Source organism: Homo sapiens, chromosome 7, assembly GCF_000001405.40.
Source record: "Homo sapiens chromosome 7, GRCh38.p14 Primary Assembly".
NCBI lineage: Eukaryota > Metazoa > Chordata > Mammalia > Primates > Hominidae > Homo > Homo sapiens.
The window spans coordinates 76,273,132-76,296,956 of NC_000007.14; the positions used below are offsets into that span (position 1 = coordinate 76,273,132).

Consider the following 23,825-nt stretch of genomic DNA (forward strand, 5'->3'; position numbering starts at 1 on the left):
TTTCTCTTTCTCCTTCTCTTCCCATTTCTATCTCTGCCTGACTTTGTCTGTTCGTCTGTCTCTCTGTCTGCCTCCTGTCTCTCTCTCTTCCTTTCCATCCCTCTCCCCCGGCATGGGCCTCTCTCCCATGCTGCCAGCCCCTCTGTAGCCCACCCTGTGGTTCTCTTCCATCAGCTGCTTCCTGCATGCTCTATGGAGGTTTTCTGTTGTTTGAACAATAAAGAAAGCTTGGCTAGTGGAACCCATTGTTTAAAAAGGAGAAAAAAAAAAGAGCAAACAGAAATGGCCGTGCAAGAGCCCCCTCCCATCCCTGGGATGAGACAAAAGCCACATTGGCCACCCATCTACTGGCTCAGAGGGGGAGCACAGTTTAGGGTCACTGTCTTTCCCCCATTCTGCATTCCCAATGCGGAGACCTTCTTTTCTTTTTTATTATTGCATTCCTGTCCCTGAGCACTGAGAAGGTAGGTATCCCAGCTCCGCTGTGCGCTCTCGCTCCCATCTCCAGATAAGCCCTGCCACTTTGCTTGGTTTGAATGTGGTTTTCTTTCTCTCTCTCAATCTTGCCCTGGTTGGTTTCATATTCCTCCCTTTTCTTTCTTTATTTTAGTGACTACTCATTTGTAACTTGCACTTTCTTCAAATGAGCTACAAAGCTATGTTTCCTGGTTTGTCATTTGGTTTTCTTGACTTTCCCCGACCAACTTTTCTAGCCCATCTCCCCTCCTTCTTCACCTTCCTTGTTCCCTCCTTCTTCCTCTCCATCCCTGACTTCCACCCCTAAATCCTCCTTCACGCCTTCTTTCTCATTCTGTTGTCCGAATGCATTTCTGTGTGGTTTAGCATTCCAAGTTTGTGTTTCTTTCCTGAACTGTATGCTGCAGTGAAGCCAATTTGATTTCTGTTGTCTGGAGTAGCTGCGAAGCCCCTCCTCACCCTTCATCCCTGCCAGCCCCCGGGACTTCGGTCACCCCGCTGGCCTTCAGGGCCCTTTCGGGCAAAAGGCAGTGACAGAGGAGCCAGTGCGGGGCCTCCTGGCCTTCAGATCCTGGAGGAAGTTCTGGCCAAGGTCAGGCACAAGGGAAAAGCCCCATCCCATCCTTGGGGGCCTACTGGGCCAAACGGAACTCTGGGCTTCCTCAAGTCCTTCCCTGGCTGCAGGATGGAGCTTTGGGGTGGGAGCTGCAGGGCTCTGGAGGAGCAACGGGCACCAGGACTGAGCTTCCAGCTTCCATCTATTGGGTGCAATTAGTAGATTCATTTGGGGTGGCAGTGGGCAGGGCAGTGAGCTGGCCAGGAGCAGGTTTGAGACCTAGAAGGCCTACTTAGCAAAGTCTCTGTGAGACAATTTACAGGTAATTTACCTGCCCGCTGCCTGGTCCATGATCCAACTCAGACAGGGGCTCCTTCTACCCTCAGCATCCTTCCATCTTCTGAATTTGAGCAGCTTAATGTGAACCCTCAGAGCAGAACAATTCCAAAAGAACAGCCAGCAGGGACTAGGGGCCCACAGGGTGCAGCGGCAGAACCAGGACTAGGTCCTGGGACTTGTGACTCCCAGCCCAGGGCTCATCCAGCCACACTGAGGGTACTAGAGTCAGAGGTGGACCCTAGGGGACCCCACCTCCGCACCCCTGCCCTTTAAACTGTTTCCTTTCCCACCTGGGAGCAGCTACAGAAATTTGGCATTCTGGCCAGGTGCAGTGGCTCACGCCTGTAATCCCAGCACTCTGGGAGGCCGAGGTGGGCGGATCACTTGAGGTCTGGAGTTTGAGACCAGCCTGGCCAACATGGCAAAACCCCATCTCTACTAAAAATACAAAAATTAGCCGGGCATGGTGTTACATGCCTGTAATCCCAGCTACTTGGGAGGCTGAGGCAGGAGGATCGCTTGAACCCGGGAGGCAGAGGCTGCAGTGAGCCTAGATCGTGCCACTGCACTCCAGCATGGGTGACAGAACAAGACTCAGTCTCAAAAAAAAAAAAAAAAGAAAAAGAAAAAGACATTCAGCATTCCAACCATTATGAGGCCTACACGGGCTTCTATCTTCAGCTTTGAAAAGAGAAGGCCCAGCCACTCATCCCTACCCCACCCCATGTTTATCCCGGAGGCAGGTGTCAGGGAGCTCACCCACTCAGAGCATCCTCCTCAACACTGGGTGGTGCCAGGAGGGCAGACAGCAAGTGGCTCTTGGAAAGGAAGAAAGGGCAAGCTAGGCGAGGTGGTACCACCTGTAGTCCCAGCTACTCAGGAGGCTAAGGCAGGGGTATCGCTTGAGCCCAGGAATTTGAGGCTACAGTGAACCATGACTGCACCACTGCACTCCAGCCTGGGCAACAGAGCGAGACTCAGTCCCTGCTCCCTCAAAAAAAAAAAAAAAAAAAAGAAAAGAAAAGAAGGAAAGTGCTGGTGATCTGACAGGAGAAACTGTGTTGAAGCCCCATGAGGAAGAGGAGGGTCCGTCCTTGAGGAGTTTCTGATATGACCAGGGACCCACGAGTTGGGTGGTCATCTAAGTCCTCAAAGGAAGCAAGAGTAAAACATCTCAGGTGTTTACCTGTTCTTGTCCTTCAGAGTACCAGGACCAGGTGAACACACTGCCCCTTGCTACTCCCTTCCACCATCTTTTCCACTTGACCCTCAGAAATTTCTTACCCAAAGGTTGGGCCCAGTGGCTCATGCCTGTAATCCCAATGCTTTAGGAGGCCGAGGCAGGAGGATCACTTGAGGCCAGGAGTTTGAGACCAGCCTGAGCAACACAGCAAGACCCCATCTCTACTAAAAATAAAATAAAATAAATAGCCAGACATGGCGGTGTGTACCTGTAGACCCAGCTACTGAGGAGGCTGAGGTGGGGGGATCACTTGAGCTCAGGAGTTGGAGGCTGCAGTGAGCTATGATTGCACCATTGTACTCCAGTCTGGGCAGCAGAGCCAGACCCCCATCTCAAAAAATATATATATATATATATTACACAAGCAAAAGAAAACATGTCAGGTAGCAAGTCATAAAAAGGAGAGGAGGGGCTCCTGGGAACAGGGCTCAGAGGCAGGCGAGGTCCCTGATTCACTCACTCACTCACTCATTCATTCGTTCCCACACACACTAAGCAGACATGTGCCCAGCACCTCCTTTGTGCCAGGCCCCATCTGGATGTCCATGCCAGGAGAGAGGCAGGCAGACCTGGGCCTCCCAGGATGGAGGACGGACGAAGACCACTGAGCATGATGAGAGGGGAAAAGCTGAAATGTGAGTGGGAAGCTCCTGCTCACCACGGCAGCCCCCTGGCTAGCACGGCCTGGCAGAGTCCATATGGAAGGAAGGAACCAGGTTCTATGGGATCATAGAGGAGCGGACGTGATGCAGCCTGGAAAAGGCGCCCTGGAGCTGAGGGTAGGGATGCCAATAGGCATTAGCCAGGCTGTGGGTGGGAGGTGGGGAGAGGGGATCCCTGCAAGAGGCACCAAGGCACAAAAAGCAGCTTCCTGGAGGGGAGGTTCGGAGGTCTCTGAGCATCCTATGAAATCCCATAGTGCTTGGCCTTGGATCTTCCCAGGAAGCATGAGACCCAGCCAAGCTGAGGACGAGGCTCAGACTCTGGCAGGCGCATGGTGACCCCTTCCTGAGGACTTCCAGAGGGATGGGTGGAGAAGGACATGAGAGGTGCCTTCCTCCCATCCTCTGCCATCTTGGTACTTGGTGGACACCGCATAGGGTCCCCCAGTCCTTCCTGCACTGCTCTGACCCTGTGAAAGGACCATGAGTTGGTTGTACTCTGAAAAGTCTCCCAACCCCAATATAGGCTGACCCAGCAAAGACTCCGCTTATCCTCATTTTACCAATGGGGAAACTGAGGCTCCCCACCGTCAGGTGACTGCCTTAAGGCGTCACAACAAACTCACACCAGGGCCGATTCCAGGGTGTTCCACTTTTCCAGTGACTATCATCTTGGGCCATGGCAGGCCCGTGACTTGGAGGAGATGAGAAGGAAGTGGGGAAGAACTTGGTCTTCAAAAATAGCAGGCAGGAAGGATCTGGATCAGCACAGGGGATTGGACTTGGGGGCTTGGACCTTGATGGTAGGGGACAGGACCATGATGGGGGTGAACAGCCATCCAACCTAGACCCTTTTTGCTCCTAACACTCCCATCCCACTCTCAGCATAATGTAGTGGGAAGTCAGGAGGGTTCTGCAGTATCTGTGGGAAGGACCCATCACGGCCTGTGGTCTTCCTCGCCTACTGTTGGCTCCTTTCTTTGAGTCAGAAGCAGCTGGCTCAGGCCAGGCGGGGTGGCTCATGCCTGTAATTCCAGCACTTTAGGAGGCCAAGGCAGGTGGATCGCTTGAGGCCAGGAATTCGAGACCAGCCTGGCCAACATGGTGAAACCCCGTCTCTACTAAAAATACAAAAAAATTAGCTTGACATGGTGGCTCACGCCTGTAATCCCTTAGCTACTCAGGAGGCTGAGGCAGGAGAATCACTTGAACCTGGCAGGTGGAGGTTACAGTGAGCCAAGATCGTGCCATTGCACTCCAGCCTGGGCAATAGAGTGAGACTCTGTCTCAAAACAAATAAACAACAACAAAAAAAAAAAAAAAAAAAGAGAGAGAGAGAAAGAAAGAAAAGAAAAAGAAGAAGTAGCTGGCTCAGGTTCAAACTCCAGAGTTGGAGCCAGGGTTCACAGCCAGGCTGATTCCTAAGTTCCGTACTCTGCCCTGCTGCACTGCCTCCCCTAACCAAAGTAGCAAGCAAAGATTTCTTAAAGAAGGAGACCAGCGTCAGCTTGAGTTATGCACTACTGTGAATTGGCTCCCAAGCTTCCCCCACCTCATATGTGTTCACTTTGCACTCTTTGACGACCCAGGGTATAGGACAGAAACTGCAAATATAAAAATCCCAGAGAAGTTCTCATTTGCCTCCTGTTGAGGGAAAAGAATGGTGGGCTGGGGGCGCTTGAAAGTTCTGGGGCACTGGCTGCCTGGCTGCCTCCTGGAGTGGGGGGAGTATGTGTTAGGGGAGCTGATGGTCTCCTGTTGAGAACACAACTGCCATCTCAGAGGGGCCAACCCAAGGCCGGGCACGATGGCTCACACCTGTAATCCCAGCACTTTGGGAGGCCGAGGCAGGTGGATCACCTGAGGTCAGGGGCTCAAGACCAGCCTGGCCAACTTGGTGAAACCCTGTCTCTACTAAAAATATAAAAATTAGCCAGGCGTGGTGGCGGGCACCTGTAATCCCAGCTACTTGGGAGGCTGAAGCAGGAGAATCGCTTGAACCCGGGAAGCAGAGGTTGCAGTGAGCTGAGGTCGTGCCACTGCACTCCAGCCTGGGCAGCAGAGCGAGACTCTGTCTCAAAAATAATAAAAAAATAAAAATGAAAGAGGGGCCAATCCAGCCTCCAACTCTCCTAGCCTAGGGTGAGGGGTGAGCTTGTGATCAGGAGAGTCAGGGGTGCTCAGAGGGGCACCCCAAAACCAGGAAATATCCATTGTGCCCACTTATGCCTGTGTCTGCCCCAAATGGAGACATTAAGCTCTCCCAGGAGAGGTCTTCATGGCCTGATTGGCTTTGGGCAGCTATGGCTAGTGTTCATTGGCTGCTTCAGGCACCAATCAGGAGCCATCTGTGCCTTTCCACCAATGAGGTTGACCTCCTGGGTCTACCTCCATGTTCAGCTCAGCTCCAGCCCTGCAGGGAAAGGCTTGGACAGCACCTTGCCCTCTGTAGGAAACACCCAGGGCCATGCCAAGGAAACTGTGCTCCTTCCAGTCCCTAGCGGCAAGGTGCCCTGAGAGGTGGCAGCATCTTTTGTCTTCTCATCCAAACAGTCTGCCAGTGGCCGGGCTCGGTGGCTCTCGCCTGTAATCCCAGCACTTTGGGAGGCTGAGGACAGAGGATCACTTGAGGTCAGGAGTTCGAGACCAGCACCAGCCTGGCCAACACGGTGAAACCCCGTCTCTCCTAAAAATACAAAAATTAGCCAGATGTGGTGACAGACGCCTGTAGTTCCAGCTATTTGGGAGGCTGAGGAAGGAGAATTGCTTGAACTTGGGAGGGAGAGGTTGCAGTGAGCCCAGATCACGCCAGTGCACTCCAGCCTGAGAGACAGAGTGAGATGCCTTCTCAAAAAGAAAGAAAAAAGAAACAGCCTGCCAAAAGAGCTTGGTCCAGGCACCACCTGGCTTCTAGGACTCGCTTCCTTCCTTAGCAAACAGAATCAAAGTTTTACTAGGTGCCAAGTTCGGTGATAAAAAGTGATGTTACAGAGGTGAATCAGATACCACATCTGCCCTGGAGGTGCTAAAAGTCAAGTTGGTAGTGGTGATCGGAGGATTTTCGGGGAGGAACAGACCTACAAACAGACAAGGACAGTCAACTGCTACTAGATGGAGGGCCAAGGACAGGAGGAGGGATCAGCTCTGTGTAGGGAGGGAGACAGGGAGGGCGGGCAGGGTGCATGCAGAGAATCCTGGAATCTTTGCCCTGGAAGGGACACCAGGAAGCAAAAGCCAACCCTCTCATTTTGTGGATGGAGAAACTGAGGCCCAGACTGGGGAAGTGACGTGGCCAGGGTCACTCGGTGAGATAGAGGCAGGCTCTCAGACTCCTGAATCCCAACCAGGGCCCTTTTGATGGTGCCAGATGCCCTTCCTGGTTTTCTGTGTCCCAATCCTTGTGTCCTAACTCCACTTTTGGAAAAACATTTGCCACCTCTATCCAGCGGTCACCTAAGAGTTGCCCACTCAGGAGCCGGGCGCTGCCAGCCCTTCCTCCAGAGGCGGCGTGGCCTCTTCTCAGGCCTAGAATGGGGTGGTTGCGTTTCTCTCTCTCTCTCTCTATCTCTCTTGCATTTTTGTGAATCTAATGATGAACTTATACTACCACACTTTTCCCTTCTCTTACACACCTTACCTACTAAAGGAGGAAGTGCCACTTTATTGGTAAGTGGACGTTAACCAAGAGGGACTTAAAAATCAGAACTTAAAAAAAAAAAAAAGAAAAAGAAAAAGAAAAGAGAGAAACAGAAAGACAGTCGGGTGCTACTGACAGCTCCAAAGCTCTCTGCAGGGCCGGAAAACAAAGAAAAATATTAACAGAAAAATGTCAGGTTCCCCAGGATCAGATATTGTTTTTGATTTTTGGTATCTAATGACATTTGTGGATTTTGTTTTTTTATTTCTGTTTTTCCTCCCTTTCTTCGGTTCAGTTTTGAGTTCAGTTGTCCCCCTCGCCCCCTCCCCCATCTGTGTGCCGTGTGACGCCCCCACCCCCTCCATCCCCTCGCCCACCCCCAAGCGCTGGGGGTCCGGCCTGGTGGGCTGGCCCTGGCCCCGCTCCCGGTGCCGCTCTCTCTTCTCTCTGCCGGGAATCGTCCGTCCCATCGGGGGGGCAATGCCAGCCCCGATGCCTGTCCTGGAGCCCCTCCCCCTTTGGCCCCCGCCCCCCACCGCTCCGTCCCTCTTGTGTTTTGCATGCCAAGAACCCTGCATGAGCTGCACTGTTGAGGCCAGAAGGTGGACACCCAGGAGAGGCAGAGGCAGGGCAGGCGCGGGGAACCGTGTGTGCGATGCTCCGGGACTGGCAGCCCCCGGCTCGGGCCCGGTGAAAGCCCTCTCTCCTTCTCTCCCCCCACCCCACCCGCCCGCTCTCTCACCCCAACTTCTCGCTCCTCTTGCTCTGTCCTCTCTCTGCCCCCACTCTTGTCCCCTGCCTGTCTGGATTTTTTCTGTTTCTCGAACTTCTCCCTGGCTTCCATCCTTCTCTCTCTTCGCTCTTTCTCTCTTCCTCTCTCTCTCTTCTCTTCCCCCACCCCCGTCTCTCCTCTGTCTCTTCTTCTCACTGTCTCTGTCCCCTTCTCTCTTGCCCCCTTTTTTCCTTCTCCTCCCTCTCTCCTCCCTTGCTCTCTCCTCTCACCCTCGCTCTTTCGCCCTCTCTCTTTCTCATCTCTCTCCCTCTCACTCTGTCTCTCTCCTGCTCTTTTTCTCTCTTCCTCTTTCTCTTCTCTGCCTCCTCCCTCTCTCCCTCTTTCTTTCTTCTCTCTGTCTTTCCTCTCTCCCTCTCTCCTGTCTCTCTTCATTCTCTCTCTCCGTCTCTTTTTCTCTGTCTCTCGCTCTTTTTCTGTCTCTCTGTCTCTCTCTCTCTCCTCTCTTTCTGTCTCTGTCTCTCCCTCTTTCCTCTTTCTGTCTCTGTCTCTGTCTCTTTCTTTCAATCTCTCTCTCCCGTCTGTCTCCTCTCTTCTCTCTCTGTCTCTGTCTCTCTCGTCTCCCTCTCCCCCCTCCGTGCCCTGTCTGCCTCTCTCCCCGTCAGAAGCCCAGCTCGCCCTCGCCCAGGGTCCGTGACAAGGCGGCGGCCGCCGCACCCACGCCGCCCGCGCGGGGGAAGGAGAGCCCGAGCCCGCGCTCGGCGCCGTCGTCCCAAGGTCGCGGAGGCCGCGCGGCGGGCGGGGCGGGCAGGCGGCGGCGGCGGCGGCGTAGGCGGCGGCGCTCGCGGTCCTCGGCGTCCGCGCCCCGCCGCAGGGGTCGCCGGCGCCCCCGGCCCGCGCCCCCCCGGGGCTCGTCGCGCTCGCTCAGCAGGGCCCGCTCCAGCAGCGACTCCGGCAGCGGCCGCGGCGCCCCCGGCCCCGGGCCCGAGCCCGGCTCTGAGCGAGGCCACGGCGGACACGGGAAACGGTGAGCGTGCTGGACCCGGAGCTGGACTCCCGCCCCCACCCCGCACAGGGCTCCCCTCCACTAGCGGATCCCTGCCCACGGGATCCCTCCCCGCGCTGAGCTACCCTCCAGGGATCCCAACCCCCTCCCACCGAGCTACCCCCATGGATTCCACCCCCCCATGAGCTACCCCCCACGGATCCCAACCCCTCCTCACTGAACTACCCCCCACGGATCTCAACCCCCCACGGAGCTCTCCTCCCTCTCCACGGACCCCAAACCCCTATGGACCCCATGGATCCTCCCATGGATTTCCTCCGCACACTGATCTCAACTCCCCTCTCACAGGGCTCCCTCCCTCGACGACCCCAACTCTCTCTAGGGAGTTACCCTCCCTCCACTGACCTCCAAACTCCAGGGAGTTTCCCTCCCCACACTGATCCCAGCCCCCCGACGGAGTTCTCCCTCCACTGATGCCAACCCCCCAGGGAGCTCCCTCCCCACCCTGAGCTACCCCCGGTTATCCTGACCCCTCCCCACAACTGATCCGTCTCCCCTTACTGATCACTGCCCCCAGGGAACCCCCTCTCCTCCCATGAGGCTCCCCGCTTACTGATCACTCTCCCCCCATCCCGCAGAACAATCTCCTCCACTGATCTCCCCCAACACGCCCCCTCACGGGGCTCCCCCTGAACTGACCCCTGCCCCTCACTAGGCTCCGCGTTCACTGCGCACTCCGCGCGAACTGACCACAAACTACACGGACCCCGCCCCTCCGCCCTAAGCCCCGCCCCAGGGAACCCTCCCCGCCCCCAGCCCCCTTTCCGGGTCGCTGAGCCCTATCCCGCGCCGTCTCCCTCCTCCAGGGCCAAGGAGCGGCCCCCGCGCGCGCGGCCCGCCAGCACCTCTCCGTCCCCGGGCGCGCACGGCCGGCGCGGCGGCCCAGAAGGGAAGAGCTCGTCGCGCAGCCCCGGCCCGCACCCCCGCTCCTGGAGCTCCAGCCGCTCGCCCTCCAAATCTCGCTCGCGCTCTGCGGAGAAGCGGCCCCACAGCCCCAGCCGCTCGCCGTCGCCCAAGAAGCCCCTCAGCCGGTGAGTGCCCGCCCGGACCGGGCCGACGGGGCGGGCGGCGGGGTGGAGCGGCCGGGCCGCGTCGCTCACTTACCTCGCGCCGGCCCCGCAGGGACAAGGACGGCGAGGGCCGCGCAAGGCACTCTGAGGCCGAGGCCACCCGCGCCCGGCGCCGCTCCCGCAGCTACTCGCCCATCCGCAAGCGGCGCCGGGACTCGCCAAGCTTCATGGAGCCGCGGCGCATCACCAGGTATGGAGGGTCTTGGGGGGGCCGGTGGCGCAGGGCTGGGGCCGCTGACCCGGATCAGGGACAGAGACCTCGGCCCGGGGACCTTCTCTGAGGATCCACTGAACCTGGCACGGGGATGGGGGGGGGTGCTAAGGGACAATGAGTGGGTTCTGCCAGGGTAGGGGGCCAGGGGAGGAGGGGGCTAGAACTGGAGGTGCTGGGGTCTATCAGAGAGACAGGTGCAGGAGGCCACGCAGAAGGAAGGGCCACGGTGGGGGCCTGAGGGCCCATGAAGGGGAGGGGGCTCTGTACTTGGGTCTGGGTGGGCCGCAGCCGGCATGGAATTCAGCTCTGCAAGAGTCCCGCCATCCCTCCGGAGCCCCTCCCGCCCTCCCTGCATCCGTCTCCGGACAATGATGTCTCCTTTTCTCCTTCATCTCAAGGTCCAGCCTGCTGAGTGGCCTGTGGTCAGCCTGGGGGCCAGGCGGACCCCTCTGCACAGGCTGCCTGGGAGATGCCCAAGTGAGCTGGTCTGGCCCTGGTCAGCTGTCCGTCTGTCTGCCTCTCTCTTTCTCACTAACCTGGGGGATTTGGAGGAGGGGGCACAGCAGTCTGGTCTCTGGGGCAGCTGTCAGAGGAGCCAGCCACACCTCCTTGCCCTACACAGCTGTGGGGCTGTGCCCAGGGCGTGGCTGGTGAAGCCATTATCAGTTTCTCTGCTAGGACTGGAAGTGTCTGGGCCTGGGTCTCCGGGTGACATTATGGTCTGCCTTTGTGGAAATCACCCTGAAGCCCTAGATTACCCTGGCAGGGGGTTGGGGGGAACACAGGCAAAAAGTTCTGAGCCCAACTCTGCCACTGCCTTGCTGGGCAGCCTTGGGAGATCGGTGTGCCTCTCTGGGCCTCGGTTGCCACATCTGTACAATAACCAGGGTTTCGTGAGCATCTTTTCAGTTCTAACAGGGTATGATTATCAAACTAGTCCCTCCTAGTCCTTGGTGATCCAGGTAACCAAGAAGCATGGGGTGGGCATTACCCCAGAGCTCAAAGCCAGACCGCCTTGAAGGAGAAGCCAGATTGTGCTACTGCTTCTTTTTTTTTTTTTTTTTTTAAGACGGAGCTTTGCTCTTGTCACCCAGGCTGGAGTGCAATGGTGCAATCTCGGCTCACTGCAACCTCCACCTCCCAGGTTTAAGTGATTCTCCTGCCTCAGCCTCCCAAGTAGCTGGCATTACAGGCACCCACCACCACGCCCAGCTAATTTTTTTTGTATTTTTAGTAGAGACGGGGTTTCACCATGTTAGTCAGGCTGGTCTCAAACTCCTGACCTCAGGTGATCCACCTGCCTTGGCCTCCCAAAGTGGTGGGATTATAGGCGTGAGCCCCCGCGCCCGACCAAATTGTCCTACTTCTAACGGATGTCCTCTCCCACCTCCTGTCCAGCCACCGTGCCCAAGGAACAAAGAGCCATTTTGAACCCAGGGATCTTCCTGCGTCCCCCCTTCCTTCTGATGCCAACTCACCAGGCTGGGGACGCCCCCAGACAGGTCACACACCCTGCCCGTAGGCCAGGCCCTCACACCTTCCACCTGGCACCCACTCAGCCCCTCTCCCAGGCTGCCTCCTCCTCCACTAACGTACACCTGTTTTCTTCCTCAGAATTAACCCTGCGACGGGGCAGTGTTGCCCCTTAACCTCTCTTTTCTCTTCTCTGGGTCATAGCCTCCTGGCTTCCAACTAACTCTGGGCCAGCGGGAGGTAGCTGAGTGAGGAGTGGGGCCGGCGGGACTGGACCGGACCGTGGGCATGGGGAGCAGCGGCCAGGACTCCCCTCCTTGTTCCTTTCGAGTGACCTGAAAGCAACAAATTCCTTGATTGCAGAGGGGACAGGGGAACAGAGAGGCAGGGCTGGGACGTAGTCACAGACACTTACACGCCAGCTTGGGTGATGGGAGCTGTCCACATTTGCAAGTTTCATTCATTCAACAAGTTTTTTTTTTTGAGACGGAGTCTCACTCTGTCACCCAGGCTGGAGTGCAGTGGCGCAATCTCCACTCACTGCAGCCTCCGCCTCTGGGGTTCAAGCGATCCTCCCACCTCAGCCTCCCAAGTAGCTGGGATTACAGGTGCACACCACCATGCCCGGCAAATGTTTGTATTTTTAGTAGAGACAGGGTTTCATTATGTTGGCCAGACTGGTCTCAAACTTCTGACCTCAAGTGATCCGCCCGCCTCAGCCTCCCAAAGTGCTGGGATTACAGGCGTGAGCCACCGCGCCCAGCCTCAACAAGTATTTATTAGCAGGTGTTCGGATCGGGCAGAGACATGGTCTCCTTTCCCTGCAGATAGGTGAAGAAAAGCAAAATGATCAACATGGAATTTGCAAGTAACCAATGACCGTCAGATTCCATTTGGAGAAGGCAGGTGTCTCTAAGGCCAGGGCTCAGGGGAAACTGAGGCAGGAAGCCCTGGCCGCTGCTGGGATGGGGCTCGGGGCCTGGGATGGCCTGTAATCAGCTTTTTCTTCCCGGCAGCGCCCGCAAGCGTCCTATTCCATACTACCGGCCCAGCCCCTCTTCCTCCTCCAGCTGCTTGAGCAGCGACTACTCGACCCGGAGCCACAGCCGCAGCCCCAGCCCCGGCCACAGCCACGGGAGCTACAGCAGTCGCAGCCATGGGACCCGCAGCCGGACACGCAGCCCCTCGAGGACCCCCAGTCCCAGCTACCACAGCCGGAGCAGCTCTGAGAGCGGGGGCTTCTGAGCCCAGACAGACTCAGCTTGGTGCCCCCCTGGCACTGGGAGAGGCGAGGGGCGGGCCCCAGGACCCCAGTGGGGAGGGGGCTATATCTCCTTGCCCCCAAGGCTACAAAGAGGTCTCAGGGCCAGTGCACGGGCAGATGGGACCGGGGAAGACTTTGAGGGTGGGCATCCAGTGGACAAGGAGAAGCCAGATGTGCTGCTTCTACGGGTGTCCTCTCCCACCTCCTGTCCACCCACTGTGCCCGGGGAACAAAGAGCCGTTACGAACACAGGAATCTCCCCATCCCCCTTCCTGCTGATGCCAACTCACCAGGCTTGGGACTGCTGCCGGTGGATGGTACCAGAGTCCATGATCTGCTCTGTCACTTCACCTTAGCTCAGTGCAGCCAGGGACACCTTGCAAGGTGCCAGCCCTGGGAGCCCCTCTTCCGCACTACACAGCTCCCTCCACTCCTCTCTTATCACTGGGCAGACGAGGAGGTGGTACAGCACATGGGTTTGGAGCTAGACAGAAGGAAGAACAGCCTAACCCTTGGTGCACCCCCATCCAAGCTGGGGAGCTGCATCCTTTTGAGCTGGCTGCAGGAGGACCCTGGCTGAGGGCTGGTGGCTGGCCCCACAGCCTCCCCCAAGCTCCTCCACTGACCCAGGAGTGCCCAGACGGGTGGCCCCCAAAATCCCAGCCTGGGGAGCTAGGCACCTCACTCTTGGTCTGACCTCTCCAGGCCAGGCTCTCCTCACCCCATGCCCTGGGCCAAGGTCCTACCAGCCATGACTACTGCATGACAAGAGGTGGGGGGTACAGACCTCAGGTACATTTGACCCTGAGGTTAAAAGGGGTTCAGGTCAAGAGGTGGGAGAGGAAAGGGGTAGATGGGAGGTGGAATCTGTAGGAAAGAGAAAAAGCAAAGTCGTTCACTGACTGAGTAGCCCCCAGGGAGTGGAGACGGGTCCCTGGGGAGGGAGCAGCTGACAGGTCAGCAGTGCCCCCAGCCCCACCCAAGAGGAGGGCAGCGTGTGCCTGTGGTCTGGGACGTGGGCTGGATGGCAGCCCAGGGTCACAGGCATAGGATAACATGTGCTTTGGACCTGACAAGGGAGTACCTTGGGGGTCTGATGGGGTCATGGCCAGCCGAGCCTCTGTAGAGATGGAGGCTACAGCCCTCAGAAGGGAGGGGAGGAAAGAGACTGAGGGCCCTGGCCTGGGGCGTCGATGGGGAAGCGGTGGCCCCCAGTCCTCTTCTGCTGCTCCCAGCCCCCTCCTCCTGGGGCCCTCAGGGATCTCATGAAGTCTTCCTTGGCCCAACCAGGCAGATGCCCCGGGCTCCAGTGGGGGGAGGGGTCTGGGGTCTGGTCCGGGTTCCCCGCTTTCTCTATGTCCCCCCTCCCTCTTTCTCCGCAGTGCGGATAAAAATTGGACTCGAATAAAACCCTTGGTGCCCGGATGGTAGGTGGTGAGACCAGGCCTCTGTGCATGTTGGCACCCCGGGAGATTCAGGAGGGCAGCGGGGCTGGGGTCTTCCTCTGAGGGAGGCGAAAGGCTCAGACTGCTCCTTGGGACCCCAGAGAGAAGAGCTGGCATCCAGGAGCCAGTGTGTCTATCCCCCTGCCTCTGAGCTTGAGGCTAAAACAGGGACCCAAAGAGACCTTCCTCCCAGCCTGGAGGCCGGGTGGACTTTGAACATCCCACGGGGTGGGCTGCCTGAGCCCACACACCCAGGCTACCTTCAGCAGTGGGTAGGGATGGGGTAGAGGGAGGAGACACAGGGTGGACATAGGCACAGGGGACACTCACAACATGGTGGGGTGTCACAGAGTGGTTGGGACACAGCCTGAGGCAGCATGCAGGCATGCATCCTGGCTCCTGTGCCTCCCAGCCATGTGACACACAGCTGAGATGAGGTGGGCAGGAAATATTCTGACAGTCCTCAGCTCAGTGACTGTGACTGCCATAGAGTGAGCATTTAAAAGGTGGCCACAGCCGGGCGCGGTGGCTCGCGCCTGTAATCCCAGCACTTTGGGAGGCTGAGGCGGACGGATCACCTGAGGTCAGGAGTTCGAGACCAGCCTGACCAACATGGTGAAACCCCGTCTCTACTGAAAATACAAAAATTAGCCGAGTGTGGTGGTGGGCACCTATAATCCCAGGTACTCAGGAGGCTGAGGCAGGAGAATCGCTTGAACCCGGGAGGCAAAGGTTGCAGTGAGCCGAGATCGAGCCACTGTACTCCTGCCTGGGCAACAGAGTGAGACTCTGTCTCAAAAAAGAAAGAAAAGAAAGAAGAGGAAGGAAAGAAAAAGGAAAGGAAGGAAGGAAAGAAAAGAAAAGAGGCCAGGCGCGGTGGCTCACCCCTGTAATCCCAGCACTTTGGGAGGCCGAGGCAGGCGGATCACGAGGTCAGGAGATCAAGACCGTCCTGGCTAACATGGTGAAAACCCATCTCTACTAAAAATACAAAAAATTAGCTGGGCATAATGGCAGGCACCTGTAGTCCCAGCTACTAGGGAGGCTGAGGCAGGAGAACGGCGTGAACCCGGGAGGCGGAGCTTGCAGTGAGCTGAGATTGCACCACTGCACTCCAGCCTGGGCAACAGAGCGAGACTCCGTCTCAAAAAAAAAAACAAAAAAACAAAAAAACAAAGGAAAGAAAGAAAAAAAACAAAGAAAAGAAAGAGAAAAGAAAGGAAAGAAATGGTGGCCACTTAGGGAAAACCCCGTGCCTGCCTCTGGCTAGGGACTAGCAGGGTGCCTGGAAAGAGTGGTTTACAGAAGTTAATTTCCTTTTTATTTATTTATTTATTAAAAATGTGAGGGCCAGGCTCAGTGGCTCCTGGCCTGTAATCACAGCACTTTGGGAGGCCAAGGCGGGCAGATCATGAGGTCAGAAGTTCAAGACCAGCCTGACCAACATGGAGAAACCCCGTCTCTACTAAAAATACAAAAATTAGCTGGGCGTGGTGGTGCATGCCTGTAATCCCAGCTACTTGGGAGGCTGAGGCAGGAGAATCGCTAGAACCCAGGAGATGGAGATTGCAGTGAGCTAAGATCACACCACTGCACTCCAGCCTAGGTGTCAGAGCGAGACTCTGTCTCAAAAAAAAAAAAACAAACTTGGAGACCAGGTCTCACTCAGTTGCCCAGGCTGGAGTGCAGTGACACGATCTCCATTCACTGTAGCCTTGACCTCCTGGGCTCAAGCAATCCTCCTACCTCAGCCTCCCTAATAGTTGGGACTACAGGTATGCACCACCATACCCAGCTAATTTTTGTATTTTTTTTTTGGTAGAGACAGGGTTTCACCATGTTGCCCAGGCTGGTCTCGAACTTCTGAGCTCAAGCAATCCTCCCAAAGTGCTGAGATTACAAGCATGAGCCACCGCTCCTGGCCTGTATTTCTTTCTTTTATTAGATCTAAAGAAATACACAATTCCTCCTCCTCCCCCTCTTTCTTGCCTCTAGCCTCTCTCTCCTCCTTCCCCTTCTTCTCCGTCATTTCTCTCTCTTAGAGTGGTGGGTTTTAAGCTTGTTTTGAATCAGGTCTTCTTCGAGAATCTGATGAAGGCTGAGAACCCTCCCAGAAGAATGTGCGCATGCCTGCAGTGTGGCTTGTAACACTGGATCTATCACACACATACTCACTCTGAAGGCTTTTAGCGTCCCACCGGTTAAGAACCCTGGTCCACCTCCAATGAGGGTGCGGCTGAGGTGGCCCCTGCTCCCACTTCTGTGTGGGCCATGACATAGGTGTCCTTGGCCCAGTCCCCAGAGCTGGGGCTGTGTCATGACATGACCCCATTCCAGCTTCTTTTCCCCAAAACTAGAAGGGGCACCTGACCAGTGGCTCTGTTTCCTATCCACGGAAGCTGTTCACAGAAGCCCTGGTGATTGGCCAGGTGCGGTGGCTCACGCCTGTAATCCCAGGCCTTTGGGGGGTCGAGGCAAGTGGCTCACTTGAGACCAGAATGGCCAACATGGTGAAACCCCGTCTCTACTAAAAATACAAAAAATTAGACAGGCGTGGTGGTGGGCGCCTGTAATCCCAGCCACTCTGGAGGCTGAGGCAGGAGAATCACCTGAACCTGGAAGGCAGAGGTTGCAGTGAGCCGAGATCCTGCCATTGCATTCCAGCCTGGGCAATAAGAGTGAAACTCCGTCTCTCTCTCTCTCCTCTCTCTCTCTCTCTCTCTCTCTCTCTCACACACACACACACACACACACAAAGAAAGAAAGAAAAAAAGATAACAAAAAGAAGCCCTCGTGATCTCTGTAACCCTTTCTAACAAGTTCAACAAAACGCCTCAAGGCAAGGGGCTGGGCTACGGGGAAGCAGACTTGGCCCTGTGCTAGAGATGCGTGAAACACATCTGCACATCTGAGTGGCAGCACAGTTGAGGTTGTCCTGCAACTCAGCCTGTCTCACACTGAGCATGGCACTGGGCCTAGGGACTCTGCTGTCTGGCTGCTCCGTCCCCCAACCTCCCATCCCATTCCGTCACTGCCCAGCCTGACTGCCTTCTGCACGCCACAGCCAGGCTGCTCCCAGCCATTGCAATTGCTTCCTTCCCACCCCACCTCAGCACCTGGCCCTACCGGCCTCCTCACTGGCCAGCCTGCCTCATTGCCTTCTCCAATCCCTCCTGCTTTTTTCTTTTCTTTCCTTTTTTTTTTTTTTTTTTTTTTTGCGACAGGGTCTCACTCTGTCGCTCAGGCTAGAGTGCAGTGGCACCATTATGGCTCACTGCAGCCTTGATCTCCTGGTCTCAAGAGATCTTCCTGCCTCAGCCTCCTGAGTAGCTGGGACTACGAGTGCACTCCACTACGCCGTTAATTTTTGCTTTTTTGTTTTCTTGTTTTTGTTTTGAGACAGAGTCTCGCTCTGTCACCCAGGCTGGAGTGCAGTGGCACAATCTCGGCTCACTGCAACCTTCGCCTCCTGGGTTCAAGCAATTCTCCTGCTTCAGCCTCCTGAGTAGCTGGGATTATAGGCATGCACCACCACACCCAGCTAGTTTTTGTGTTTTTAGTAGAGATGAGGTTTCACCATGTTGGCCAGGCTGGTCTCAAACTCCTGACTTCAAGTGATCCACCCACCTCGACCTCCCAAAGTGCTGGGATTACAGGCATGAGCCACTGCACCCGGCCATTATTTTTTGTACAGACGGGATCTCGCTATGTTGCCCAGGCTGGTCTCACACTCCTGGCCTAGAGCGATCCTCCTGCCTCAGTCTCCCAAAGCACTGGGATTCCAGGCATGAACCACCATGCCTGACCACTCCCATTATTTCTAACATGCAGATCTGAACACCCATTCACTCATTCCACAAATACTTATTGAACAATTCCTATGTCCCCTGCAGAGTGGCTGGCTCTGAGGACACAGTACTGAATAAATGAGACAGAACTCCTTGCCATGCAGAACCTGCCTCCTGAGGCCACATCCACCAGCTCACAGGCCTTGGAAGGCCTTCTGAGTGACTCCACCTGGCACGTGCCATCCTTGGCTCCTCCCAGGGCGCCCTCCCACCTTATCTCCCATCGCTGCCCTTGATTCCAATACCCCGAGCCCAGCTGGCGCCCCTCATGCCCTCTCTGCCTCCACGGGTTCAGGTGAGCTCACAGGCCAAGGCCCAGCTCAGCCACCTCCTCCTCCATGCGGCCTTCCTGATGTGCAGCTGCCGTGACTACTCCTGTCTCTGGGGTTCTCTGGGAGCCTGTGTTTAGGGCCCAGTCTCTTCTTCCAGTGATTTATTTGCTAGCATGTTTATCTCTCCCCAAAGCTCTGAGCTTCTGGAGGCCAGGACATGTCTTCCTTGTCTCTGCATCGCCCACGTAGGCCACTTTGAAATGTTTGTTGAATGAGTCATCGAGTGAAGGAAGGAACCCGCAGAGGAACGGTTGCAGAAACTTTGGGGGAGGCCTGGGCACCAAAGGCGAGGCGTGGTGGCGGAAAGCCGACACTAGAGGGCGACAGAGAGTAAGGGAAAAAATGCAGCCAGGACCAACAGGCTTGGAGCAGAGAGATGCCTGGGCCAGGGCTCGTCCCAGCCTGGAAGCCCCAAGCCTTCGTCCTCCATGCCTGCCCTGGCTTCGTGGGGAAGGGGTGGGGAGCATACCAGCCCCCCCCCCGCCCCACCCCGTCTGAACTCAGTCAGCCGACTGAACTCTGCTCTATACCCTGGGGAAAGGGAAGAATAGGACCAGGACGGCCGGCAGGAAAACAGGAAACTCCAGTCCCAGAGCAGCGGGCAGAAGACCGTCCCCAGGATGTGGGCACTTCTCGCCAGAGGGTCCTGAGCCTGGGGCGCACTCTTCTGGTTTGGGGTAAACTTGGTCCTCTCGTGGTCTCTCTCTCTTCAGATAGGGCCCAGGGGAGCCCCCACTCCATACCACGTTTTTCCTTCCAACACATACAGCAGCCAGGAGGCCGGACAGAGCTTTCCGGTTTCCTGTTTTCACAACTGTATTTTCCCCTTTCTCCTTAATCAGTTTCCTACAGCCCCAGACAGGGTGACAGGCCACAGGGCACCTGCCCAGCTTGGCTGTCCCAGCCTGTCCCCCATCCCCTCACCACCCCCAACTTTTTTTTTTTTTTTTTTGAGACAGAGTCTCGTTGTGTCACCCGGGCTGGAGTGCAGTGAGTGGTGCAATCTCAGCTCACTACAACCCCCACCTCCCAGGTTCAAGCAATTCTCAAGCTTCAGCCTCCTAAGAGCTGGGACTTTGGGTTTGCACCACCATGCCCGGCTAATTTTTGTAGGTTTTTTTTTTTCTTTTGAGATGGAGTTTCACTCTTGTCGCCAGGCTGGAGTGCAATGGCACGATCTCGGCTCACTGCAACCTCCACCTCCCGGGTTAAAGTGACTCTCCTGCCTCAGTCTCCTGAGTAGCTGAGATTACAGGTGTGCACCACCACACCTGGCTAATTTTTGTATTTTTAGTAGAGATGGGATTTCACCATGTTGGCCAGGCTGGTCTCGAACCCCTGACCTCAGGTGATCTGCCCACCTCAGCCTCCCAAAGTGCTGGGATTACAGGCGTGAGCCACTGCGCCTGGCCTAATTTTTGTATTTTTAGTAGGAACAGGGTTTCACCATGTTGGCCAGGCTGGTCTCAAACTCCTGGCCTCAAGCAATCCACCTGCCTCAGCCTCCCAAAGCGCTGGGATTACAGGCATGAGCCACCTCGTGCGGCCTGCCTGCCTTTTTTTGAGACGTTCTAGAAGACCCCGGGCCTCCTGCCTTCCTCTCTCAGTTGAGGGAATACTCAGCAAACTGGCCCCATCACCAGGCACCTGCTGGCCTCCAGGCCCCCCTCCACTCACCCAAGGAGGCATCTTAGAGACCCAGATGCCTGGGGGTCTCCTACCTCCCCCTCCACCTACCCAAGGAGGCATCTTAGAGACCCAGATGCCTGGGGGTCTCCTACCTCCCCCTCCACCTACCCACTTTCTAGGGCTCTCTTAAGGGGGAAATCTAAATCTATCTCGGGATAGGAATCCCACTCTCCCGCAGGCTTAAGGAGGACTCCTGCCTCATTCACCCCTTTTCTCCATCTCACTCTGATTTAAAGCAGCGCAGGTCATATCCAGGCTTAGCTGGCCAACAGGGAGGGAACGTTCCCATCTCAGGCCTGGTGAGTGTCTCCTGTCCTCCCCTCACTCCTACCTCCACTGTTTAAAAAATGATTCTATGATACTCGTTAAAGCACGAGCAGGAACATTTTATTCAGGATCATCACAAGAGATATCTAGGCAAGACTGCAATGGGATTGTGCAGTGGAGGAAGAGAGATTGGGCTCAACTCTGAAGAGAGCACGGGCAAGGGAGAATTTATGGCCCAGGAGCAGGGTGGCGTGAGTGGATGGAAAATTACTAAGAGGAAATACTGGGGGGTTCTGGCTCAACTGACCTAGCAGGATTCTAGCTGAAGGCCAGCCAGGGAGATCAGACACCACCTGGGAGATGGTAGAGGATGAGGAACCTGATTGGAGGGTGATCAGATCTCAAGGGTGAGCGGCTCTTGCTAAACAGGTTTCTTGCAAAAACTGGATTTACGAACAGGGCGCAGTGGCTCACGCCTGTAATCCCAGCACATTGGGAGGCCAAGGCGGGTGGATCACCTGAGGTCAGGAGTTCAAGACCAGCCTGACCAACATGGTGAACCCCCATCTCTACTAAAAATACAAACTTAGCCAGGCATGGTGGCTCATGCCTGTAATCCCAGCTACTCGGGAGGCTAAGTGAGGCAGGAGAATCGCTTGAACCCAGGAGTCAGAGGTTGCAGTGAGCTGAGATTGCGCCATTGCACTCCAGCCTGGGCAACAGAGCGAGACTCTGTCGGCGGGGGGGTGGGGAAGACTGGATTTATGCAGAGGGGCTTAGGAGGTTCCAGAGTCTGAGTAAAGTTTGGTCAAACGGGGGATCTTTGTCACCCCTTCCCATGTGCACAGCCCTGTCCTGCAGCATTTAGGCTGTGGAGTGGGTAATGCAGGGGACCTGGAGGGGAGGGGAAGAATGGAGGAGAAACTGTTGATTCACGGCCCTGGAAGGAGACTTAGAACATCCAGTCCAATGGTTTCATTGTACAGATCAAGAAAATGAGTCACGGATGCCGGCCCTTGGCCAAGGCTGCAGTCAAAGACATCCAGGTCCCCAGACTCCAGAGCTAGACAGCCAGAGCGGGAGGGGCGGGAGGACAGATCCCCAGCCCTCCCACCTGGTCCCTCTGTGGCCCCCGCTTCAGTGGTGATGGGGGTGGCATGGCCCCCTCCCAGTCCAGCCAGAAACCAGAGGTCCAGGGAGTGGGGCAGGCTGGAGGTGGGTTTTTAGAAGCGGACTCCCAGAGAGACAGTGTCTAGACGTTTCCAGAAAGACCCAGCGTCCCCTCTACCCCACCCCCGGCGCTCTGATTACTGTCGTCCATATTTTCAATTCCCAGCAGGCCCGGGGGCTGGCGTCATCCATCAGCTGTCAGGCCTCTCCAGGGAGCTCGGGCAGCTGCCTGGAGACTCTGGCACTTTCTCTGAGGCGGGGCCAGTGAAGGCGGGGCTGGTTCAGCCGCAGTTGGCAGAGGCCTGCAGAGGGCGTGGCCAGCATGGTCAAGGCCTTGGGCGCAGGGAAAGGAAGGGGGTTAGTCTTGGGGCTGCTGCTGAGCACCCCACATTTGGGGGCTAGAGATGAGGGGAGGGACCGTCCAATGAAGGACTCCCTGGACCTTGCAGTGGGCAATGAAGAAGGGGAAGGGCCATGACCTGCCCTCTCACCCTCCCCCAACCCCACTCCACGGTGGCTTCTGGGAAATCCCTGGGGCTAGAATTTTCCTTTTTTTTTTTTTTTTTTTTTTTTTTTTTTGAGACAGAGTCTTGCTCTGTTGCCCAGGCTGGAGTGCAGTGGCACGATCTTGGCTCACTGCAACCTCCACCTCCTGGGTTCAAGTGATTCTCCTGCCTCAGCCTCCTGAGTAGCTGGGATTACAGGCACATGCCACCACGCCTGGCTAATTTTTGTATTTTTAGTAAAGACGGGGTTTCACCCTGTTGGTCACGCTGGCCTCGAACTCCTGACTTCATGATCCACCCGTCTCGGCCTCCCAAAGTACTGGGATTACAGGCGTGAGCCACTGCGCCCAGCCTGCATTTTCTTCTCTATCCCAGAAAAACCACCCCTGGCATCTCAGTGCTCTGGATGCTGGAGCCAGCCACAGACTGACAGAGAACAGCTGGGCAGGGGGGCATGTGGGAGCCGCCACCCAGCCCTGGCCCCCTTGCCCAGCTCGGTTGCCCAGTGGGGAGGGCAGAGTGCAGCCTCCTAGAAAAAAGGCACCCGGTTAGGCTGGAAGACATGCACTCCTGCCCCTGTGCCCTGGAAGCCCACAGCCCTCTCTGAACTGTCTGGGAAGTCTCCCCCTTGCTGGATGGAGAATAGGGAGGTCTGAGACCCTTACCAGCTTTGTGACCCTGGGGCCATTCTGACCCTCAGTTTTCTCATCTCAATAAATGGGACTCCTAGCTGGATGCCTTGGCTCATGCCTGTAAGCCCAGGTAGTCAGGAGACTAAGGAGGATTGCTTGAGGCCAGATGTTCAAGACCAGCCTGAGTAACATAGTGAGACCCCCTCTCTACAAAAAATTGTAAAATTGGCTGGGTGTGGTGGCATGTGCCTGCAGTCCCACCTACTCAGGAGGCTGAGCAGGGAGGATCACGTGAGCCCGGAACGTTGAGGCTACAGTGGGTTATGATTGCATCACTGCACTCCAGCCTGGGCAACAGAGTGGGGACCCTATCTATTAAAAGAAAAAAAAAAAAAAGGAAGTTGGGCGCGGTGGCTCACGCCTGTAATCCCAGCACTTTGGGAGGCTCAGGTGGATCATTTGAGGTCAGGAGTTTGAGAACAGCCTGGCCAACATGGTGAAACCCCATCTCTACTAAAAATACAAAAAATAGCCGGGCATGGTGGCGGGAGGCTGAGGCAGGAGAATCGCTTGAACCCAGGAGGTGGAGGTTACAGTGAGCTGAGATGGTGCCACTGCACTCCAGCCTGGCGACAGAGCGAGACTCTGTCTCAAAAAATAAATAAATAAAAAAGGAAAGGAAGAAAAAGTGACTCTGATAGGATACTTTGACGCTCTATAAAGCACATATGTCCGGGCATGGTGGCTCATGTCTGTAATCCCAGCACTTTGGGAGGCCAAGGTGGGTGGATCACGAGGTCAGGAGTTTGAGACCAGCCTGGCTAAGAGAACAGCCTGGCCAATATGGTGAAACCCCATCTCTACTAAAAATACAAAAACTAGCTGGGCGTGGTGGCAGGTGCCTGTAATCGCAGCTACTCAGGAGGCTGAGGAAGGAGAATTGCTTGAACCTAGGAGGTGGAGGTTGCAGTGAGCCAAGATCACACCATTGCACTCCAGCCTGGGTGACAGAGCAAGACTCTGACTCAAAAACAAACCAACCAAAAAAAACAAAAACAAAAAAACCACATAGAACTGGGTAATTCTGATTATTCTAAGGCTCAGTATCCACAATTAAAGGCCCTCGCAGTCACCGTGAGCGCTTACTGTGCACCGAGCACTTTACACACATTCACGCACTTGAAACTGACCACAATGCTGTCAGA

General features: G+C 56.0%; 1 protein-coding gene across 2 annotated transcripts in view, besides 8 other annotated features; it reads left to right on the top strand.

Moving 5' to 3' along the window:
- Positions 1 to 14,156, top strand: part of SRRM3 (serine/arginine repetitive matrix 3) — an 85,392-nt gene extending 71,236 nt beyond the window's left edge. The window contains exons 12-16 of one of the 2 annotated variants that reach the window (NM_001291831.2): positions 8,310 to 8,671; positions 9,517 to 9,741; positions 9,833 to 9,970; positions 10,393 to 10,471; positions 12,484 to 14,156. In NM_001291831.2, the coding sequence (NP_001278760.1) occupies positions 8,310 to 8,671; positions 9,517 to 9,741; positions 9,833 to 9,970; positions 10,393 to 10,471; positions 12,484 to 12,696 (1,017 nt within the window). In that variant the 3' untranslated portion in view covers positions 12,697 to 14,156. The remainder of the gene's footprint in view (positions 1 to 8,309; positions 8,672 to 9,516; positions 9,742 to 9,832; positions 9,971 to 10,392; positions 10,472 to 12,483) is intronic. The other variant, NM_001110199.3, reaches the window with a different exon arrangement.
- Positions 6 to 95: an enhancer, noted in NCBI's record as "active region_26195". NCBI's record gives its function as "activates an Ori minimal core promoter by ATAC-STARR-seq in GM12878 lymphoblastoid cells {active_cell/tissue: GM12878}" and the evidence as "EXISTENCE:reporter gene assay evidence [ECO:0000049][PMID:35858748]".
- Positions 5,665 to 5,714: a silencer, noted in NCBI's record as "silent region_18310". NCBI's record gives its function as "represses an Ori minimal core promoter by ATAC-STARR-seq in GM12878 lymphoblastoid cells {active_cell/tissue: GM12878}" and the evidence as "EXISTENCE:reporter gene assay evidence [ECO:0000049][PMID:35858748]".
- Positions 17,109 to 17,624: an enhancer, noted in NCBI's record as "H3K27ac-H3K4me1 hESC enhancer chr7:75919557-75920072 (GRCh37/hg19 assembly coordinates)". NCBI's record gives its function as "activates a minimal SCP1, AML or CMV promoter by ChIP-STARR-seq in naive H9 embryonic stem cells {active_cell/tissue: H9 hESC(naive)}" and the evidence as "EXISTENCE:reporter gene assay evidence [ECO:0000049][PMID:30033119]".
- Positions 18,265 to 19,033: a transcriptional cis regulatory region, noted in NCBI's record as "candidate enhancer chr7.2946 targeted for multiplex CRISPR interference". NCBI's record gives its function as "positively regulates HSPB1 gene expression in K562 cells {active_cell/tissue: K562}" and the evidence as "EXISTENCE:mutant phenotype evidence [ECO:0000015][PMID:30612741]".
- Positions 18,265 to 19,172: a biological region, named in NCBI's record as "CRISPRi-validated cis-regulatory element chr7.2946". NCBI's record gives its function as "regulatory_interactions: HSPB1".
- Positions 18,281 to 18,590: an enhancer, noted in NCBI's record as "active region_26196". NCBI's record gives its function as "activates an Ori minimal core promoter by ATAC-STARR-seq in GM12878 lymphoblastoid cells {active_cell/tissue: GM12878}" and the evidence as "EXISTENCE:reporter gene assay evidence [ECO:0000049][PMID:35858748]".
- Positions 18,657 to 19,172: an enhancer, noted in NCBI's record as "H3K27ac-H3K4me1 hESC enhancer chr7:75921105-75921620 (GRCh37/hg19 assembly coordinates)". NCBI's record gives its function as "activates a minimal SCP1, AML or CMV promoter by ChIP-STARR-seq in naive H9 embryonic stem cells {active_cell/tissue: H9 hESC(naive)}" and the evidence as "EXISTENCE:reporter gene assay evidence [ECO:0000049][PMID:30033119]".
- Positions 21,523 to 21,662: an enhancer, noted in NCBI's record as "active region_26197". NCBI's record gives its function as "activates an Ori minimal core promoter by ATAC-STARR-seq in GM12878 lymphoblastoid cells {active_cell/tissue: GM12878}" and the evidence as "EXISTENCE:reporter gene assay evidence [ECO:0000049][PMID:35858748]".